The sequence below is a fragment of the Homo sapiens genome, chromosome 9 (assembly GCF_000001405.40).
Source record: "Homo sapiens chromosome 9, GRCh38.p14 Primary Assembly".
Taxonomy (NCBI): Eukaryota; Metazoa; Chordata; class Mammalia; order Primates; family Hominidae; genus Homo; species Homo sapiens.
The window spans coordinates 125498772-125518324 of NC_000009.12; the positions used below are offsets into that span (position 1 = coordinate 125498772).

Consider the following 19553-nt stretch of genomic DNA (forward strand, 5'->3'; position numbering starts at 1 on the left):
GCTTCTAAGTTCTCTGGTCCTAGGACACAGACTTACAGACCTGCCCCCTCCCCACTCTCCTTCCCTTTCCATTCTGGGTCACCCCCTTCTAGCCAACATACATCTCCTCGAGGGCTCTGCCAGGTCTATGACTCCAAACCTCGACACCTGTGCCCCATCTGCTCTACCAGCCACAGAATGCTGCTTTTCCATTATTTATTAATTACAGTTAACATTTATTGAGTACTTATTATGTGCTGTTCTACGAGCTGTATGATTATTAGAGCTTACTGAATCCTATCAATCTTATGAGGGCAGATAAACTACCCAAGAAAGGTTAAGTAAATGGCCCAAGGTCACACAGCTAGTAAGTGGCAAGGCCAGGATGTGAACTGAGACAGTTCATTGACAGCACATTCTCTTTAAGGACTGCGTAATACATGATCAGAATTTAGTCCACATCTACAATGGCTTTAAGGATAGGGAGGCTGTTCTAATCAAACATAGTAACAGAAATGAAAATAATTCTGCTTTTGGAATGTTTTTCTTTGCCTCAATCCACCTTCTTAATAGGCAGCTAGTGGAAAACAATGTAATTCTTAGTTGGAATTCCTACTTAAAAAATCCTTTTAAAAGCCTTTAAAATAATAAATTGTTTTCATAATTTACTTCCATTTTACAAAGACTAGTTATGATTCCATTGATTGTGATCTTTGTAAGTGCTGGTAGGGCTTCATTTATTAACACAGTGATTTTGACTCAGAGCGTCAAAAAGTGATGGGAAGTATCTTGCAAATCCTTTAAGATGAGGATGCTGAGGCTCAGAGAGATCACATAACTGAATTAAGACCATGTTCATGTTCGGAAGTAGAGTGGGAACTAGAGCCCAGATTTCAAGGCTTTATTCACCAACCCTCACAGCTTCTCTTTCCTAATATTAGAAAACTGGGCTTATCTTTTTTCAGAAAAACTAATTTGTGGCTGGGTTTAGTGGTTCACTCCGGTAATCCCAGTATTATGGGAGGCAGAAGCAAGCCTGGGCAACATAGCAAGACACCATCTCTACAAAAAGAAAATTAAAAAAAAACTAGCCAGGTGTGGTAGTGTGTGCCCGTAATCATGGCTACTTGGGAGGCTTAGGTGGGAGAACTGCTTGAGCCAGGGAGGTCAAGGCTGCAGTGAGCTGTGATCTCACCACTGCACTCCAGCCTGGGTGACAGAATGAGACTCTTTCAAAAACAAACAAAAAAATTAATTTGAAAGCACAATATACTGTGGAATACTGCATAGTAGTTAAAAAGAAATTGGTGAATTTATATGTGGAACAATATGAGTATTAATGTGGAAGAATCTCTATAATATACTGTTAAAATGATAAAAATGCAGAACACTAATGTTTGTTATCATTTGTGTTTTTATTTTTATTTTTTGAGATGGAGTCTCGCTCTGTGGCCCAGGCTGGAGTCTCACTCTGTCACCCAGGATGGAGTGCAGTGGCGTGATCTTGGCTCACTGCAAGCTCTGCCTCCCGGGTTCACGCCATTCTCCTGCCTCAGCCTCCCGAGTAGCTGGGACTACAGGTGCCTGCCACCATCCCTGGCTTTTTTTTTTTTTTTGTATTTTTAGTAGAGATGGGGTTTCACCGTGTTAGCCAGGATGGTCTCGATCTCCTGACCTCGTGATCCACCCACCTTGGCCTCCCAAAGTGCTGGGATTACAGGCATGAGCCATCACGCCGGCCCCCATTTGTGTTTTTAAAAAAGGGAGGAATACAAATGTGTGTGTATAGGTATGAGTGTGCTTGTGTGTACACACACCTATGATACATACATGCATATACAAAATGTGCTTGCATATACATAGATGATCCCTGGAAAGATATGGAAGAAACCAGGAACAATTATTGTCTCTGGAAGGGGAATTAGGGGATGGAAGAAGAGAGACTTCATTTTCACTACAGACACTTTAGTTACCTGAAATTTTTTTTACATGTATAAGTATTACATATCCAAGAAATTTACCAAGATTCTAATAAACACCACTTTATTTGTATAACAAGGAATCAACATTTTGAAACAGAATCCACTATAAAGTTCCTACCTATGAATTAGTTCCTCAAGTATGTTTAAGATGACAGACTTTAAAGAATGAAAAAAAATGACAGGGGCGGAGGGAGGGATTGTTCATTTCTACGGGGTAAAAATTCCGATAAGCAAGTCACATAGGAGTGTATTGGTGTAACTTTTCCTTTGGCTCACTATGGTATGGTACTAGATATGGTATGAAATTTCAAATGTCACAAGGATTGTTACACTAAGACATTGTCTCACTATACGATCTTTATCTATGTAGACTTGCCCTTATTTCTTGTTTGCTTTTCCTTCTTAGAAAGTCATGCATGCTCACCTTAGAAACTCTGGAACGAACAAATATAAACACGAAGGAAAATGAATTACCCAGAATCTTGTCAACCAGAGACAACCACTATTAACATTTTCTTTCCAGTTTTACTTTTTGTTTGTTTTTACATAGTTGGGATTCATCTATTTGTCTTGACATTTTTTCCCTTAACATTACATCACAGTTAAACCAAATGTGCACTGCTAGAATAAACCCAACTTCGTAATGTTATATTGTTCTTTCAACATAATGTTAGATTCACTTTATTAATATTTTGTTTAGGATTTTTGCATCTATATTTTTCAAACTGGCCTGAAAATTTTCTGTCTTGTATGGTCTTTACTGAGTTTGGTACCAAGATTATGATAGCCTCTTAAAACAAATTGGAGGTTATAACCTTTTTCTATTCTCTGCAACAGTGGATATAGGATTGGAGTTATTTTTTTCTTAAGTTTTTGGTAGAAACTAGCCAGTGAAGTCATGTGGGTTTGGATTTTCTTTGTAGGAAGGTTCCTAATTACTAATTAGCTTTTCAAAATAGTTATGAGAATATTCAGGTTTTCTATTTCTTCCTGTGTCAATTTTGTTGTCTTTTTCTATAAATTTGTTCATCTATAATTTTAATATTTTTGGTATAATTTTTTTCAAAATAATCTTGTATTTATTTACAAGACAGGATCTTAATGTTTAATGACAGGATCTACAGTGTACCTCCTTTTCATTCCTACTACTATCTGTGTTTCTCTTCCTTGTTTTTGTCCATTTCATTGGAAGTGTATCGATTTTGTTGGCCTTTTCAAAGAACCAACTCTTGATTCTGATGTTTCTGAATTTCTATTTCATTAATTTCTATTCTTCTCTTTATTGCTTCTTTTATTCGTTTCAGGTTTTTCTATTTTTCAATTTCTTGAGCTGAATGCTTAGCTCATTACTATTCAGCCTTTCTTCTTCTTTTTTTTTTTTCTGTTTGAGACAGAGTCTCACTCTGTTGCCCAGGCTGGAGTGTAGTGGCATGATCTCAGCTCACTGCAACCTCCACCTCCCAGGTTCAAGCGATCCCCCTGCCTCAGCCCCCCTAGCAGCTGGGATTACAGGCACTTACCACCATGCCTGGCTAATTTTTAAATTTTTAGTAGAGATGGGGTTTCACCATTTTGGCCAGGCTGGTCTCGAACTCCTGACCTCAGGTGATCCACCGGCTCGGCCTCCCAAAGTGCTGGGATTACAGGCGTGAGCCACCGTGCCCTGCTCAGCCTTTCTTCTTTTGTGATATTTGAATTAGAGGGCTGTAAAACTTCCTTCAAATACCATTTTAGTTATATCCTCAAATTTTAATGTCAAATTTTCATTATCTTTCAGTCAAAATACTTTCTAATTTCTATTATTATTTCTTTATTAAACCATGGGTTCAGAAACCTGTTTCTCAATTTCCAAACATATGCAGATCTTCTAGTTGTCTTGTTTTTTCCTAGCCTAATTTCACTGTGATCAGAGGATGTATCACATATGATTTCAATCTTTTGATATGTAAGATTTACTTTATTGCTTAGCATATGGTCAATATTGGTAAATGTTCATGTGTGATTGCAAGAAATACGTATCTGCAGTTGTAGGGTAAAATATTCTCTGTACCGCCTGTCCATGAGGTTAAGTTTAACTGTTGTTTTAAGTTTTCTCTATTATACATTTTTAAAAAATGTATTTGCTGTTTCAATTACTGAGAGTTAAAACCTCCCTCCATGATTGGAGACCTGTATATTTTTCTTAGTAATTCTTCAGTTTTGTATTATATATTTTGAGCATATAGGTTTAGAACTGTTAAATCTTCCAAGTAAACTGAACCTTTCATCATTATGAAGTAATGGTTTTTATATCTAAAAACGTATTCTGCCTCATGTTAATATGGCTACACCAGATTTCAGTTGCTATTTGCATAGAACATCTTTCTCCATCCTTTTACTTCAAACTTTCAGTACCCTTGTTTTAGGTATTTGAGAAAAACCCATCCTAACCATCTTACAGATGACAACAACTACTACTACTAAAGCCTTTAGTTCATTTACTGATATATCTGGGTTTAAATCTATTATCTTACTACATGTTTTCTATTTAACCTCCTTTTGGGCTTTCTACCCCTGGCAAACCCTGGACTTCTTTTGTCTCCTTTCCTCTAAAGGCTATCCACAACCCAGCTCAACCTTTAGGCTGCACTGCCAGACAGGCAGATAATGTCCGGGCAAAAGCGCTCGTAGGCGTTGATCTCTTTTGTTTCAACCTTTTCCCAGACATGGCCATTGATTCTTTTCTATCTTGTGCTCTTTGATGACTTTAGGATGACCATTTGTTTAATCAGCTTTTTAAGTTACCTTCAGTGGAAGAGTTGGTTCAAATTACTTAGTCTGCCTTTACTAGAAAGGTAAAACCCTGCATAATTTTCCAATATAGGGATATAAGTTATCTGACTACTCTTCCAATGTTAAATATTAGAAATAATGTTGTTAAAACACTGTACATAAATCTTTCTTGCATTTTAGATCCTTTTCTCTTTAAGATAATTTCTTTTTTCTTTCTTTCTTTTTTTTTTGAGACGGAATCTCACTCTGTCACCCAGGCTGGAGTGCAGTGGCACGATCTGAGCTCACTGCAACCTCTGCCTCTCAGGCCCAAGCGATTCTCGTGCCTCAGCCTCCCGAGTAGCTGGGATTATAGGCACCCGCCACCACGCTTGGCTTTTTTTTTTTTTTTTTTTTTTTTTTTTGTATTTTTGGTAGAGACGGGGGTTTGCCATGTTGGCCAGGCTGGTCTCGAACTCCTGACCTCAGGTAAACCACTCACCTCAGCCTCCCAAAGTGCTGGGATTACAGGCAAGAGCCACCCTGCCCAGCCTCCTTAAGATAATTTCCAAAAACAGATTTACTGGAGAAAACATTTTTAGGTCTTTCGATATTTACAGCTATATTATACTGTTATACTACAGACCCCAATGTTTGAGTATGCCTATTTCTCCATATTCTCTCCAGCAATGAGGACTCCCTTTGAAACACCTGGCTTATTTTATATGTGGCTCTAAAATGTTTGTATTTTACAATGTTGATAAGGATAAATATTTTCACAAATGTTTACTACTCATTTGATTTTTTGGACCATTTGGGAATCAGTGATTTTTATTTCTATGTGTATTCACAAAAGGTACTTATAACTGGTTGCAGACTGTGGGGACAGTAACCTTCTGCCTTTGAGAATTTGCTACCAAATGCCAAAAGCATATTTCACCTTCCTGGTGAATTTTGTGCATGCTCGGCGGAAGAGGCTGTCTGGGGCCCTAGTCAAAGAGTAGCATCCTAGGCCGGTGTGGTGGTTCACACCTGTAATCCCAGCACTTTGGGAGGCCAAGATGGATGGATCACTTGAGGCCAGGAGTTCAAGAGCAGTCTGGCCAACATAGCAAAACTCCACCTCTACTAAAAATAAAAAATAAAAATAAAAATAAAAATTAGCCAGGGGTGGTGGTGCATGCCTGTAATCCCAGTTACTTGGGAGGCTGACACATGAGAATTGCTTGAACCCAGAAAGTGTAGGTTGCAGTGAGCCTAGATCACACTACCGAACTCCAGCCTGGGTGACAGAGCAAGACTCTGTCTCAAAAAAACCCCAAAACCAAACCAAAACCAAAACCAAAAACATCCAAAGAGTAGCAGCCTGATCTTGTTTAGAGGGTCAGTGGCATGAGTAAAGATCTACCATTCATTCACTCATTCAATCTATATTTACTGAGATCCTGTAGCACATAGTCTACAGCAGATCTATATGAAGGGCAACTTGGTATGGGCCAGGGTCATCCTCACAGACCTGATAATCTAGCAGGGAAGAGAGATATTAAACAATCACTGAGAAAAGTATGTAATTCTAAATACAGGCTGGCTGCAGTGGCTCACATCTATAATCCCAACATTTTGGGAAGCCAAGGTAGAAGGATTGCTTGAGACCAAGAGTTTGAACCGCCGGGCGCGGTGGCTCACGCCTGTAATCCCAGCACTTTGGGAGGCTGAGGCGGGCGGATCACCACGTCAGGAGATAGAGACCATAGAAACGGTGAAACCCAGTCTCTACTAAAAATACAAAAAATTAGCCGGACATGGCAGCATGTGCCTATAGTCCCAGCTACTCGGGAGGCTGAGGCAGGAGAATCGCTTGAACCTGGGAGGTGGAGGTTGCAGTGAGCTGAGATTGCACCACTGCACTCCAGCCTGGGTGACAGAGCGAGACTCCGTCTCAAAAAAAAAAGAGTTTGAGACCAGCCTGGCCAATGCAGCAAGACTCCATCTCTAAAAAATAATAAATAAATGAATAGATAGAAACACACGCGACGGAGAAAAAGTAGTATGCGGTATGGCAGAATATAACGAGGGACTCAAACGAGAGGTGGATCAGGTTTAAGCAATGGGGGACAGGAAGATCCTGGTGGCCTTTCTGAAGACAGGACATTTAAACTGAGACAAAGAATGAGAAAGAGTTATTAACCAGAATGGGGGAAGGAGCATTCCAGGTGGAAGAAATAGCCTGTGTAAAAGCCTCGAAGCAGGAATGACTACAGACAGTCTGCTGCCGCAAGCGCAGTTTCACACATCACTTGCCCTTGTGTCAGTGGGAGTATGGAGGAGAGGATGGCAAAATGCACAATTTGGAAACTCTGAAGAGAGAATGAACAAAGTTAACAAGTTTTGAAGTTCTCAACATAGCATAAGGAATCACTACACTGCCTCCTGCTAGAATATGCAAATGGTTAAAATTTTCTAAAACCTGATGTCTGAATAGTGATACTGACAGGGCCAGCTGCTTTATATACAAAATAGCCTTTACTTCAGAAAAGGCCTCATGCTTCTAAGCTGTTTCCAGGGATGCTCCCAACTTAGGAAGACAGTTTAACAGGAAAATATTAATCACAGAGTGCTAAACAGGATGCAGCCTCTCTACCAAAAAGCACAAAATCAATCATTTCACTTTGGGATATACTTTGGCACGAAGACTGCAGTCTGCCTTGGAAAACAGTCACTTCAAATCTGCCTAGGGAAACCAGACCAGTGAGCGTTTCCAAACACATGACTTCTAAGCAAGTTTGCAACGGACAAAGCGGGCATGGAGCGAGGCGGCCAACGTACTGTTCTCGCGGACCAGGCAGAACTCCCATGCGCTCTGGCTCTCCAAAGTGCTGTCCAGGTCAACGGCGACATTGGGCTCGCTCTGCTTCTCCAGGCGGTACTGAGGGCCTGGAAGATCAAAGGGGCAGGAGGAGGGGAGGAAGTCTGAAACAGCGAATTTAACATTTAAAAAACACCACATACTGGTGAAAAGCTGATAAAGCCTTAGTAAAGTGTTAAAGTCTGTCTTGAGGGTCTAGCTATCCAGGATGGAAGTTTGGGGTTTCTTTTGCATAAGGCTTCACATTCTTCACTGTTCTATTATCAAGTCTGTTGCCACTCAGTTCTCCCCGAAACCAAGTAAGAGGTAAATGGCCTTTGAGTCAGAGTGACTACGCCACTTCTCAGATATGAGCAGGTCACCTACCCTCTCTGAACCTCCGTTTCCTAATATGTAATGTAGGAATAGTTATACCTTGAAAGATTGTTGTAAGGATCAGAGGTGATGTAGGAAAAATGCTTATTAGAAATGTACCTGCCTCACAGGAGGCAAAGGTATTTATTAATAATTATGTAACAATAAATTACAATCAGGAATAAGATATGTGTAGAACTCTAATATAATAACAGTCCAAAAAATTCAAAACAAATTGTAAACAGGTAAGCTTAAATAAATAAAGCTCAGATGACCTGGCATTCATATGTGGAAAAAGTTTTTAAATTAAAAAAATCTCAGATTTCTGAGTTACGATGATGAAAAGACAGTGGCTACCGATTCACATTTTTGTTGAAACATTTATGAAAACACGAGACACAGGTTCAGTAGTACTGGAAGCCAGGAATACTAGCTACCCTGCATCACATAGAGGGTTCTTCTGGCAGACCTTAATAAAACACTGCAGCATTTTATACATTTATTCATGTATTTCTTTGTCAACCCAAATGACAATCTTGTTCTTCTCAGATAACACATAACGGGTCCAATGATCAGATTCAAAAGACTGCTCCTGTGATCTGTTAATGGTTATTGAAAGGATTAGAGGCATAAGAAACTGTCTTATTATTTTGACTCTGAAAGGCGTGTTTGGTCAGACAGAAGGAGAGGTGAGAGAGCTGAGGGAAGCATCAGAGGCCGTGCAGGGCTCCCAGGCGGAACACGTATTTTTAGATATGTTCTTCAGCTGCTGTCAACTTGTGGATTAATCACATCTAGTGCTTCTCTATCATCAGCATGAGGCATTTCACTCATTTCCAGTCATTCTCCTTCCCATGTTCTATGTTCAGCTGTAGCACTGTAGAGATTCATTTCAGTTTCAGGGTATATTTGATCTTTTCTCTAACTGGTATTTCATTAGCACTTCTGCCTATTCTGAATTCTTACATACATTCAGTCCTTTTTACACTACTTAAATAAAGCTTTTAAACCTTTGTAAGTAAACAAATGCTTAAAACATATACAACTATTTAAGCATATGCTCAGAAGCCTACACAGTTCTTTTAAACTCTAATACACTATATTTATATCAAAAAGGTATTGTGTTTTAAAATTATTGGTAGTAAATTCATTTTTTTTTAAAATTCTAATTTCAAAAGTGTTAAATAAGGCCAGGCATGGTAGCCCCCTTAGCGATTCTCCCAAATCCCAGCACTTCGGGGGGACCAATTGAACCCAGGAGTTCGAGACCAGCCTGGGCCACACAGTAACAACAACAACAATAAAAATTTAAATTAGCCAGGCATGGTGGTGCGCACCTGTAGTCCCAGCTACTCGGGAGGCTGAGGCGGGGGGATTGCTTGAGCCCAGGAGCTGGAGGCTCCAGTGAGCTATGATCATGCCACTGTACTCCAGCCTGGGCAACAGAGAGAATCCCTGTGTCTCTTGGGAAAAAAAAAGTGTTAAGTAAATCAAAGTATGGAAGGAAATGCAGGTAATTCTTGTAGTCTCTACTACCTATCACCTGTCCATGCCAACAATTTTCAATTAATAGGTGCATCTGGTATTGATCAGTGGATGCTGGCACGTAATACTGGGTAGAAGGAATCTCAGAAAGCTGAACCTTAAGAAAACAGCTGTGGGCCCCTTTAGTCTAGCAGAGGAAAGGGAGTTACCCCTGAACCTGGAGGGCTGCTTTCTAAGATAATGGCCTATTAAACAATCTCTGACTGTTCCTATCTCCAAAATCTCCCAGCAACACAGTGTGCAGAAGCAACTGACATCCACTTCTATAAATTTACAGTGAAATCTGGGTATAAAGTTTAGCTGTAATAATTCATTTCCCAGGCTGAGTATGGTGGCTCACATCTGTTATCCCAGCGCTTTGGGGGAGCCAAGGCAGGAGGATCACTTGAGGCCAGGAGTTTGAGGCCAGCCTGGGAAACACAGTGAGCCTTCATCTCTACAAAAAAATTTTTTTAAATTAGCTGGGTGTGGTGGTGCATGCCTGTAGTCCCAGCTACTGGGGAGGCTGAGGTGGATCTCCTGAGCCCAGGGGTTTGAGGCTGCAATGAGCTATGACTGTGCCACTGCACTAGAACCTATCTCCAAAAAAATTTTTAAAAATAATAGCCCAAATTTAGGAACAACCTAGGTCTAATACGGGGACTGATTAAATAAAATATTATGAAATACCATAAAAATATTAAATGTGATGCTACAAAAATATTTAATTTTATAAAACATGTTTATAATATGCTACTTTATGAAAGCAGCAAATTACAGCACATTTTAAATTATAATTATAAAAATACAAATTATAATTTTTAAAATATAATAGCAGAGTGGAGTGACTATAGTTACCAACAATGTACTATATATTTCAAAACAAGCTAGAATAGTGGACATGAAATGTTCCCAGTGTATAGAAATGATAAATACCCCAGGTGGTACCCAAATACCCTGACTTGATCATTACACATTCTATGAATGTAACAAAATATCACGTGTACTCCACAGATATATATAAACATTATGTATGAATTTTAAAAAGGTAAATCTAAGCAAAAAATATGTAAAGGAATAGAGGAAAAAAGACTAGGAGGTTATTCCTAAAATGTGAATAGTAGTTATAATTGATAGTGGAATTAATAATTGTTTTTATTTTTGCTTTGTGTTTTTTTGTATTTTTCAAATTTGCTATAATAAATGAAGGCCACTTTTGTAATTTAAAAACACCAGATAAACTTAAAAGTTCTCCAATTTCTTACTATGACATCTTTTTGAGGCTACTATAATTAGCACACATTGTGGCATCTCCAATGGGTCATTCACATGCAGTAATTTAATCAAAAGCAGACACGATCTGTTTATGTAGACATATTTTCATGTGAAGCAACCGTGCACCCTGGCATGTGTACTCTGAGAGCAGTGCACAGACTGTCGGGCTTCTCAAGCTGTCAGGCTACCTGACAGCTGGATTATATATAAGCTACCACTTTCCTGATTACTGGGAACTAAGGCCTGGCTGCATCAGGAGGAATTTCAGGCCGGTCTCCTTTGCACATTTTTTCCTACCAGTCTTTGCAGCTGCCTGGGAAACGTGGATCAGGGAAAACAGGGGAGTCAGGGAGTACCAGGAAGGATCCCTTATCCCTGAAGACAACTCCCTGCCCCACTCTCAAAGCCATAAATGCCATCATCTGACATTCATTTTATTTCTTGGATCTTGCAGATATTTCTATTAAAATTAGTTTTCTGAAAGTAGCTTCTTGGACTTTGTCCTATGAAGCCTAGCATGTTGATGACTTTAATACATGCTTATTATGTGCCAAGCATGCTATATACCTTACCTTATTGAATCCTCACAGTAACCCCCAGAGGCAGATATATTAGCCCCAGTTTACAGATTGGGATGCTGGTGAAGTAACTTGCCCAAGATCACAAAGGTAAAAAGTAGGAAGGGGGAAAAATGAAACCCATGGGGGTCTTCTGGCTCTAAAGCTAGTCTGCCTTGAACCCTCCTTCCTCCTGCAAACTACAAATTACTGGCCAATTATAAAAAGGCCATAGTTTATACCATAAATAAAGGTTTCTGTAGATTTGTGGATTCATCTAGAATCTGAATCACTTAACTTCTATAAATTCAAAATGAAAATGATCTGAAACTATTTATTCCAACAAACCCACACATACCAAGTATTTCATGCTCTGGCTGCCTTCTGAGTCCATGGTAGTACCATTCCCTCTTACGAAGACATGACCAGACATGATCACCTTGTCTTTCTATCCATCCAGGAAGGCCCATCCATCTTTCCTTAGGAATACTGCTAATATTCTACGCTCAGTTTAGTCAGTAACTGAAAATCCGTGTGTTTTCTGCCCTGGGTACTCCCTGCTCATCCATCAAAGCTGAAGAACAACTTGGAAACCCACTTCTGAACTTAGCAAGGGACCAATGGGTAACAACCTGGGGGAAGGCAGGGTGGTTAAGCTGCATATGAAACTCGATATCTAAATCCAAATGGAAAACTGCTTTTTATAAATCTGCATTTCTCTCCATAATCCTCACCTGAATAGTGGATATTTCACAGAGAAAGATTATAGTATTTTACACATTTTCCCTCCAAAAAGGCCAGGATGATAATTTCAGGTCTTACTGTGTAATGAGAGGCAGGGTATATACGAGAGGCAATATAGCCAGGTGGTTAAGGGCATAAACTTGGGGCCCAATTGCCTTGGCCTAAGTCCTGGCCAAGCAATTTTGCTGTATGACTTTGGGCCAACTTAACCTCTCAGTTTTCTTCTTTATAAAACAGGGGATAATAATAGCACCTACCTCACAGGATTGTCTAAAGTTTCAACGAACTAATAGTTGTAAGGCAGTTGGAACAATGTCCAATGCATTAATAGTGTGATTTAAGTATCAGCTATCATCATCACCATCATCATCATCATCATCATCATCATCATCATCATCATCAGACTGTAATAATACTAAGTGATCCTAACAGCATGGACAATCTAACTACCACCATCACAGGCCCTACTATGTGACAAGTGCTGTGCTAGGTCTTTTATGTACAGATCATCTCATTCACTCTTTGGTCACCCTAAGATGTAAAGAGTTTATAAACCCACTTAAGAGAGGAGAAACTGTGATTTATAGAGGTTAAATAACTTGCTCAGTGTCCCTCAGGAACTAGTAGAAGTGAGAGAATTCATACCTAGGACTGCCCAGGCCTGCACTCTCTATATTGCATTATGAACCACAGCATCTCACTCACACAAAGTTCTTAATAAATGCCTGTTGACAGTGAAGATTATGATAACCCAGACCTATATCAAAGTACAGTCTCCATCAAATACTTGTTTAATTTTTAGGAGGCTGACATGGGAGGAAAATAAAAATAGCATCCAAAAGCCATTTCAAAAAGACAAACTGTGAGGTCAATTTCTATGAATATACTTTTTGCCAAAGAAATGATTATATAAAATATAAAGGGCTCTTTCACACTGAACAGGACAAGGTTCTCAAGGCAACATCCACACTTTGGAAAGAGGATTTAAAAAGTCACAGCTGCGCATGAAGCCGCATACCCTCCATTTCACAGCAGAGAGGAACACAAAAGGAAGATTCTGGGAAGCAGTTACTCTGCAGCGACGGGAAAACCTGCTTGGGCATTCCAATGATGTATTTATTGCAGTAATACCATGTCACCGAATGGCCTAGGAACAAAATATTGCTTTGGGCACTTTGGGAGGGTTCCAAGTTATAATACCCAGGCAGGATTTTTATGGGATTTTGTAAACCCGAGGCAAACATCTCAGCACATAAGTTTCAAAGAAAATCTGCAGAATCTGTTGGTTGGTGGCTACATGCTCAGAGCAGCTTCCTCGATCCCTTTAACCCCTAACTGAAACATAAAAGGTTTTAGCATGCAATTCTTTAACAGCTGCTAGCTAGCTGAAAGCTGAAATCCAATGGAAAGCAAGTGCCTGCCAAAGTCCGAAGAGAGGGAAGACACACTGTCGCCTCCATTGCTCTGTGTCTTCTTTCTAGAGACCCGTGGGAGAAACTTCTTTCAGATCCTGGTATCAGGAAAAGCTGTACTTCCCTGGAGCAAAGGGCTTGCTTTTGTATCTTTAGAAAGTTTAACATAAATCTTGTAACTAGCTCCTATCATGTCCCTTTCTCCTTTGCCCATCAGGAAGCTCAGCACTAAATGTTCGTGTGACTATGATGACCTGGACATGCATTTCTCTGCCAGCTCCTCCTCCTGGGGACTCGTAAACTTGTCGTTTAATCTTTATGTTTCTTTTCCTCTCACGTAGTTTATTGGTTCGTATGTATACATATTTTTTTTTTGTTTCTTTTGAGATGGAGTCTTGCTCTGTCGCCCAGGTTGGAGTGCAGTGGCGCAATCTCGGCTCACTGCAAGCTCCGCCTCCCGGGTTCACGCTATTCTCCTGCCTCAGCCTCCCAAGTAGCTGGGACTACAGGCGCCCGCCACCATGCCCGGCTAATTTTTTTGTATTTTTTAGTAGAGACGGGGTTTCACCATGTTAGCCAGGATGGTCTCGATCTCCTGACCTTGTGATCCACCTGTCTCGGCCTCCCAAAGTGCTAGGATTACAGGCGTGAGCCACTGTGCCCAGCCTCGTATGTATATTTTTTTAAGAGGTGGGGTCTCGCTATATTGCCCAGGCTGGAGTGCAGTGGCTGTTCACAGGTGCGATCCCATTACCGATCAGCACAGGCGTTTTGACCTGCACGTTTCCAACATGGGCCGGTTTACCCCTCCTTAGGCAACCTGGTGGTTACCCACTCCCGGGAGCTCACCATACTGATGCTGAACTTAGTGTGGACATCTGATCAGCATAGCGCTGATCTAGGCTGTAGCCCAGAAATCCTGGACTCAAGCAACCCTCCCATATCAGCCTCCTGAGGAGCTGGGACCACAGGTACACACCACTGCACTCAGTGGTTTGTGTATTTTAAAATCTATTATAATAATTCCAAATATTTTTGGGATCAAGGTAGGATATAAGTGAATTAACCTATCATCATCATTGCTGACCATAAGAACAAGTTTGAGAATCACCTGTGCAAGGAAAAATGACAGTCAAAAGCTGAACACTTTCATGGTTATGTCTTCATGTCAACTGTTTTCCATTCACCAATTTAAAGAGCTGCTTTAATCTGAAAGAGCTTCTGGTAGCCAGAAAAAAGCTAAGTGTGAGCAGTAAGAGGAAAGGCTAGACTTGAGCAGAACATCCCTGGTGTTTGTGCCATGAGAGGGAGTAACGCTGCCAGCTATGCATCCTTGGGAAGGAATTTAAACTCATCTGTAAAATAGGGATAACAGAGCTTCCCTCAGAAGGTTGCTGTGAGGATTAAATGAGACAATGCAGGACTTCCCTTAGCAAAGTGCTCGGTCAATGAGAGCTGCTATTATTGCAAATACAGACTGAAACAGAAACCACTGCAATAAGGTTTAGGTAGATCCCTAGCCTATGAGTCACAACAGGCTCACAGCCTTACCAGGGAGGGCACACCGGGGCAGGGAATGCTGGCATCAAAGCGAAAGTCTGTGCTCTTTCCCTCGTGTGTCCAAAGTAGGGGTGCAGGGTGCATATCTATTTAAACAAGCTTGCTTTTAAGCTGCAGACGGCATTTAAGATTAGAGACTTGCTCAGCAGCCAGGATTCCTACAGTTCCCTAGTCTCTCAGGTCCTACAAATATAGTCTAAAAATGACGAGTAAATGTCAGAACCCACAGAACAAACCACGGCAGCACAGATATCAAAGGACACGTGACGCTGGGTCTGAGCTCACATGTCCACCCCACACAGCCTTGGCTTCTTCCACAATGACCTTCCATGGTCCACGTGGGTTCCTCAGTGCCTCCTGGCTTCTGCACGTGCCATTCCCTCTTCCCTCTTCTTCACCTAGCTCTGAGTCCTGCTTCAAGACAACCTGGTTCAGATGTTTCCACCTCAGGGAAGGGGAGGGTGGAGCTACCTGTCCCCTTCTCTGTGCTCCCACACAGCGCCTTGTTCCTACCTTGGTAGGAACACTCATTGGGCTCTTCTATAATTTACCAGCTCAAGCTGCCTCGCTGCCTCCCCCAGCCTCGAGGCAGGGATGAGTAATCTCTGTGCTTGGTGCATTGTTGATGCTCAAAAAATATTCATTAGATGGATGTTTGGATGGTAGTGTAGCATCACATGTCCTTTGATATCTGTGCGATCATGGTTTGTTCTGTGGGTTCTGACATTTACTTGTCATTTTTAGTCAATATTTGTAGGACCTGAGAGACTGAGGAACTGTGAATCCTGGCTGCCGAGCAAGTCTCTAATCTTAAATGCTGCCTATAGCTTAAAAGCAAGCTTGTTCAAGGAGGAGCTGAGGCTGAGAAGCTTGGCCCAGATTGTTGGTCAAGATTTGGATTTTCTCTCATATGCAACAGGTGCTAACAGAGCAGGAAAGTGACACAATCAGCTTTATATTTTGGTGAGATTCTTCTGGTGGCACTGCTGACAATGGGCTGGAGACTTATGGCAGGAAGACCCATTCCAGGAGGATCGTGCCAAGCCTTGACTACTCTATGGCAGGGGCTGACTGAATCTGCGTTCCTCACTGAGCCAAAGCCACTACGCTGATGCCGTCCGTATCAGAGCTCGGACCCAACATCAGCTATGCTAAAATGTCTGCATTTAGTGTCAGCTCCATCGCTTATAACTCTTCCTCCAGAGGCAACTATAATCATTTTCTGCTTGATCTTAATATAAGCACTGAACTATATTCAAGTGACAACCGCTGTAGCTTATACCCCCTCTGAGGCTCAGATTGGATAGTTTGGAATTTAAATAATAAAAAAGGAACAAGCTGACATGACAATAAGGTCACACTTTAGCCTCTTCTGAGCCAATACACCATTTGCTCTCTGTGAAACAGCTGAATATAATCAAATTAAATACAATTCCTATTACAAAAGAAGAAAGACCAAGGCTGTTCCAATAAACCAATTCTCCTGCCTAGTTAAACTGCAAAACCTTCAGGAAAGGTTTTGAAAGCATGACCCATCAGTTCTAATTTTTAAAACTTATCCTTTCAGTCAACACTAGAAAAAGGCCCATTCCAACTTTTATCTTTGCTACAAAGTGCTGTTATCTTGGCTTGATGTCAGGAGCTCTATCTCTCTTTCTGCTGACAAGCAGAGACGAGAAAGATAAGATTGGAAACGAATCTCACTTCTCTGAGTAAATAAATAATCAATACTCATCTAAATGTAAATGAGAAGGTAGCCCCCTCTGATAACAGCACTCTTATCAGAGAGCCAATTTTCTTCAGACATTTGGCCTCAACCAAATCACCATCATTCAGCCCCAGCCTAATGGCAAAAAATCGTAACTAAATTGAACCGATCACCAGAGATCAACTAAGTTCGGCCCTGGCCACTTCAGGTTCAAATGTTTGGGAATGCAATTTTGCCCCCATTAACTTTCAATAGCAATGAAGAACAGACTGGTCAAGGGGCCAGTCGGTGCAATAAACAAAGCCCAGCAAGGGGGCCGGCCAGAAGATGAGGAGGAGTGGGCTTCAGTGTTTAAACAACAACAGTGCCATCATGGAAGCAAGCCCCAAAACTGTGAAGGGAAGGCCGCTTCTGTGGGCTGAGTAGATGGCACTCTTTCCTCTATCTAAGGCTTGGCTGAAACTGAGAAGACATTTAATTTGGCGAATGATGATGATGATTAAAGTTTATTAAAACAAATATAAAGAAAAAAGATATTAAAAAGCTACTGTAGCTAAAAATAACCTAAGGTTCAAATGATCAATTTCCTCCAACTAATTTGTCTCAGACTTACATCTGACCCAGCAGTGCCGCACTGACCTGATTTTACTGAAAGAAGACGCCGTCTACAAGACAAATCACTTTCAAACCACTGCACTGGGGTTTCCATTTCTTTGCTGCAAGACTCAATTCACTGCTGATGAGAGTATTGGGGAAATTATGACCATTATTGATAGGACAGCAAAACCACTTTCACACAGCAGTCTTCAAGTCGACAGAAAGCTTGCACTAGACCATTAATGAAGGTGTCAGCTAAAACCAGAAATTAAAGACAAAGACTGGAAGAGGCCTAATTTTTAGAGCATGTTAAGGACACCAGACACATAGAAGCGGCAGCCATTCATCCCCTTAAGAGTAACAGAGCCTAAATAAGGATAAGCAGAAGAAAGGGCTACTCTACTTATGATTAGGGAAAGAAAATGCTTTTTTTCTTGCCTGGCCTTGGAGTTCCAAGGCCACAGGCTCTCAATATTATCAGCTCACAATCTTCATCAGCCAAAGGAGGAGATGTTTGGTGTGAGACAGAACTACCCAATGTTTTACAATCTCTATTGCTGCTGTGAGCATCTAATCCTAGAAGGCAGATGTGTGGCAGTTGGAGTGTGGGTTCTGGAGTCAAAAAGACTTGGATTGAAATCCTGGCTCTTTTACAAGTTATGCGACTCTGGGCAAGTTAGTGGATCTAAACCTTCATGGAGTAATTCCACAGATTATGTGTAACACAATGCCTAGCACATAAGTACTTAATAAATGTCAGTTATATTGCTACACAAATTTGACAAAATCATCAACTTGCCCTTTTTGAAAACAAGTCAAATATTGCTTCATTCCTGGACTATAATAACAGCATCAGCAACTGACATGGAGGACTTTCCTGGCCCTTAACAACGTGCTTTCCATGCATTTGCTTTCCGCATCTTCATAAAACTCTATGCGGTAGGCCCTACAATAATCCCACTTTACAGAGGAGGAAAATAAACCATGGAGTGGTTAAGTCATGTACCCACGGTGAGGCCAGGACGAGAATGCAAGTTTTTCCAATTCCAAAGCCTGTGCTCTTCACCACTCTGCTCTGCTGTATCCCATAAAGAACAGTATAGGTTTTGATCTTTGGGTTAAAAAAAAAGAATTGTAAGGTTTAGATGATTTATCAGTTCAGAAAGGAGTAAAGATGCTGTGTGGGAGACCAGGCAGCAGGGAAGAGTAGGAAGTTGATCTTGAGGGGGTCAAAACTGAGAGTCCATCAACCCTCACAGCAGGCGTGTCACATGAACACCAGCTGCTTGCCCTGATTTTTCCAGGGTTGGGGTGGGGGTTCTTTTTCTAAGTTAAGTGATTTACAGACTTACTGCCTCAATCCACAGTTCTGAAAGTGTGATTTCTTTAGGGTTTAACTATACCCATTTCTAGTCTTGTTACAACTTTTTTATTGTGATAGAAAACATTTACTGGAAATATGTTACTGCTATTACCAGGTCATAAAATAAAAAGAAAAATAGTTTATGTATTGCCATCATTTCCAACCATCAATCAGAAAGTGCCAAGAGGAGGAAAGGAAAGGGCGTACCGCTGAATTTCCTTCTTTGTGTGGGAGAAACTGTAGGAGCATCATAATTCTTTAGAACAAATTTATTCTTGAATACCTAGCCTCACGAATGGGCTCTGGGGAGGAGCAGGGAGGCATCCTTTTGGCATATCCCCTCCTCTCTGCAGCCCTGCCTGAATCCCTGTCAGAATTAAGAGCTCTTTCATCCCACCTTCCTTGGGACCTTGCTTTTCTCAGTGCACCAAGCATGCTGAATTAGAAGTACTTTTGTCTATTTGTCATTCCCCCCACCTAGCCAGCATCAGGGCACTCTTTGAAGACGGGGTGGGAGGCTTTCAAAAAAACTCAACTCTGTCTTCCCAGGGCTTCAGCATAGCAAAAGGCTCTTTGTTGGTGCTTAATAATCGTTGTTAAATAGAATGCCTTCCACAAGGTGGCCTTGAAAATTGAACTCAACAATCTACTTCTTCTAGCTAATATTCCTATCCTAAGAAATATTAGCCCAAGTATACAATGATGTATGTTCAAAGATGTTCATTAAAGTACCGTTTTAATATAAAAAATTTCATACAACCTAAACATTTACCAGTAGGAAACTATTAAATAAATTATGGTATATCTATACACTGGGCTGTCATATGGTTGTTGTAAGAATAAGCTAAGTTGGTTGGGTGCAGTGGCTCACATTACATCTG

General features: G+C 40.8%; 1 protein-coding gene and 1 pseudogene across 5 annotated transcripts in view, besides 3 other annotated features; both read right to left on the bottom strand.

Moving 5' to 3' along the window:
- The window catches only part of MAPKAP1 (MAPK associated protein 1), a 269815-nt gene that overhangs the window by 61378 nt on the left and 188884 nt on the right, over nt 1-19553 (bottom strand). For 4 of the 5 annotated variants that reach the window (NM_001006621.2, NM_001006620.2, NM_001006619.2 and 1 more), the window contains one exon: nt 7539-7646. The exons of the other annotated variant lie outside the window; for it this stretch is intronic. In NM_001006621.2, coding sequence (NP_001006622.1) covers nt 7539-7646 — 108 coding nt within the window. The remainder of the gene's footprint in view (nt 1-7538; nt 7647-19553) is intronic. 5 annotated transcript variants of the gene reach the window in all.
- Nucleotides 5944-6003: an enhancer, noted in NCBI's record as "active region_29004". NCBI's record gives its function as "activates an Ori minimal core promoter by ATAC-STARR-seq in GM12878 lymphoblastoid cells {active_cell/tissue: GM12878}" and the evidence as "EXISTENCE:reporter gene assay evidence [ECO:0000049][PMID:35858748]".
- Nucleotides 6044-6103: an enhancer, noted in NCBI's record as "active region_29005". NCBI's record gives its function as "activates an Ori minimal core promoter by ATAC-STARR-seq in GM12878 lymphoblastoid cells {active_cell/tissue: GM12878}" and the evidence as "EXISTENCE:reporter gene assay evidence [ECO:0000049][PMID:35858748]".
- Nucleotides 7479-7773: a silencer, noted in NCBI's record as "tiled region #1305; K562 Repressive non-DNase unmatched - State 23:Low". NCBI's record gives its function as "represses a minimal TATA promoter and a strong SV40 promoter by Sharpr-MPRA in K562 cells {active_cell/tissue: K562}" and the evidence as "EXISTENCE:reporter gene assay evidence [ECO:0000049][PMID:27701403]".
- Nucleotides 14131-14436, bottom strand: RN7SL30P (RNA, 7SL, cytoplasmic 30, pseudogene; annotated as a pseudogene).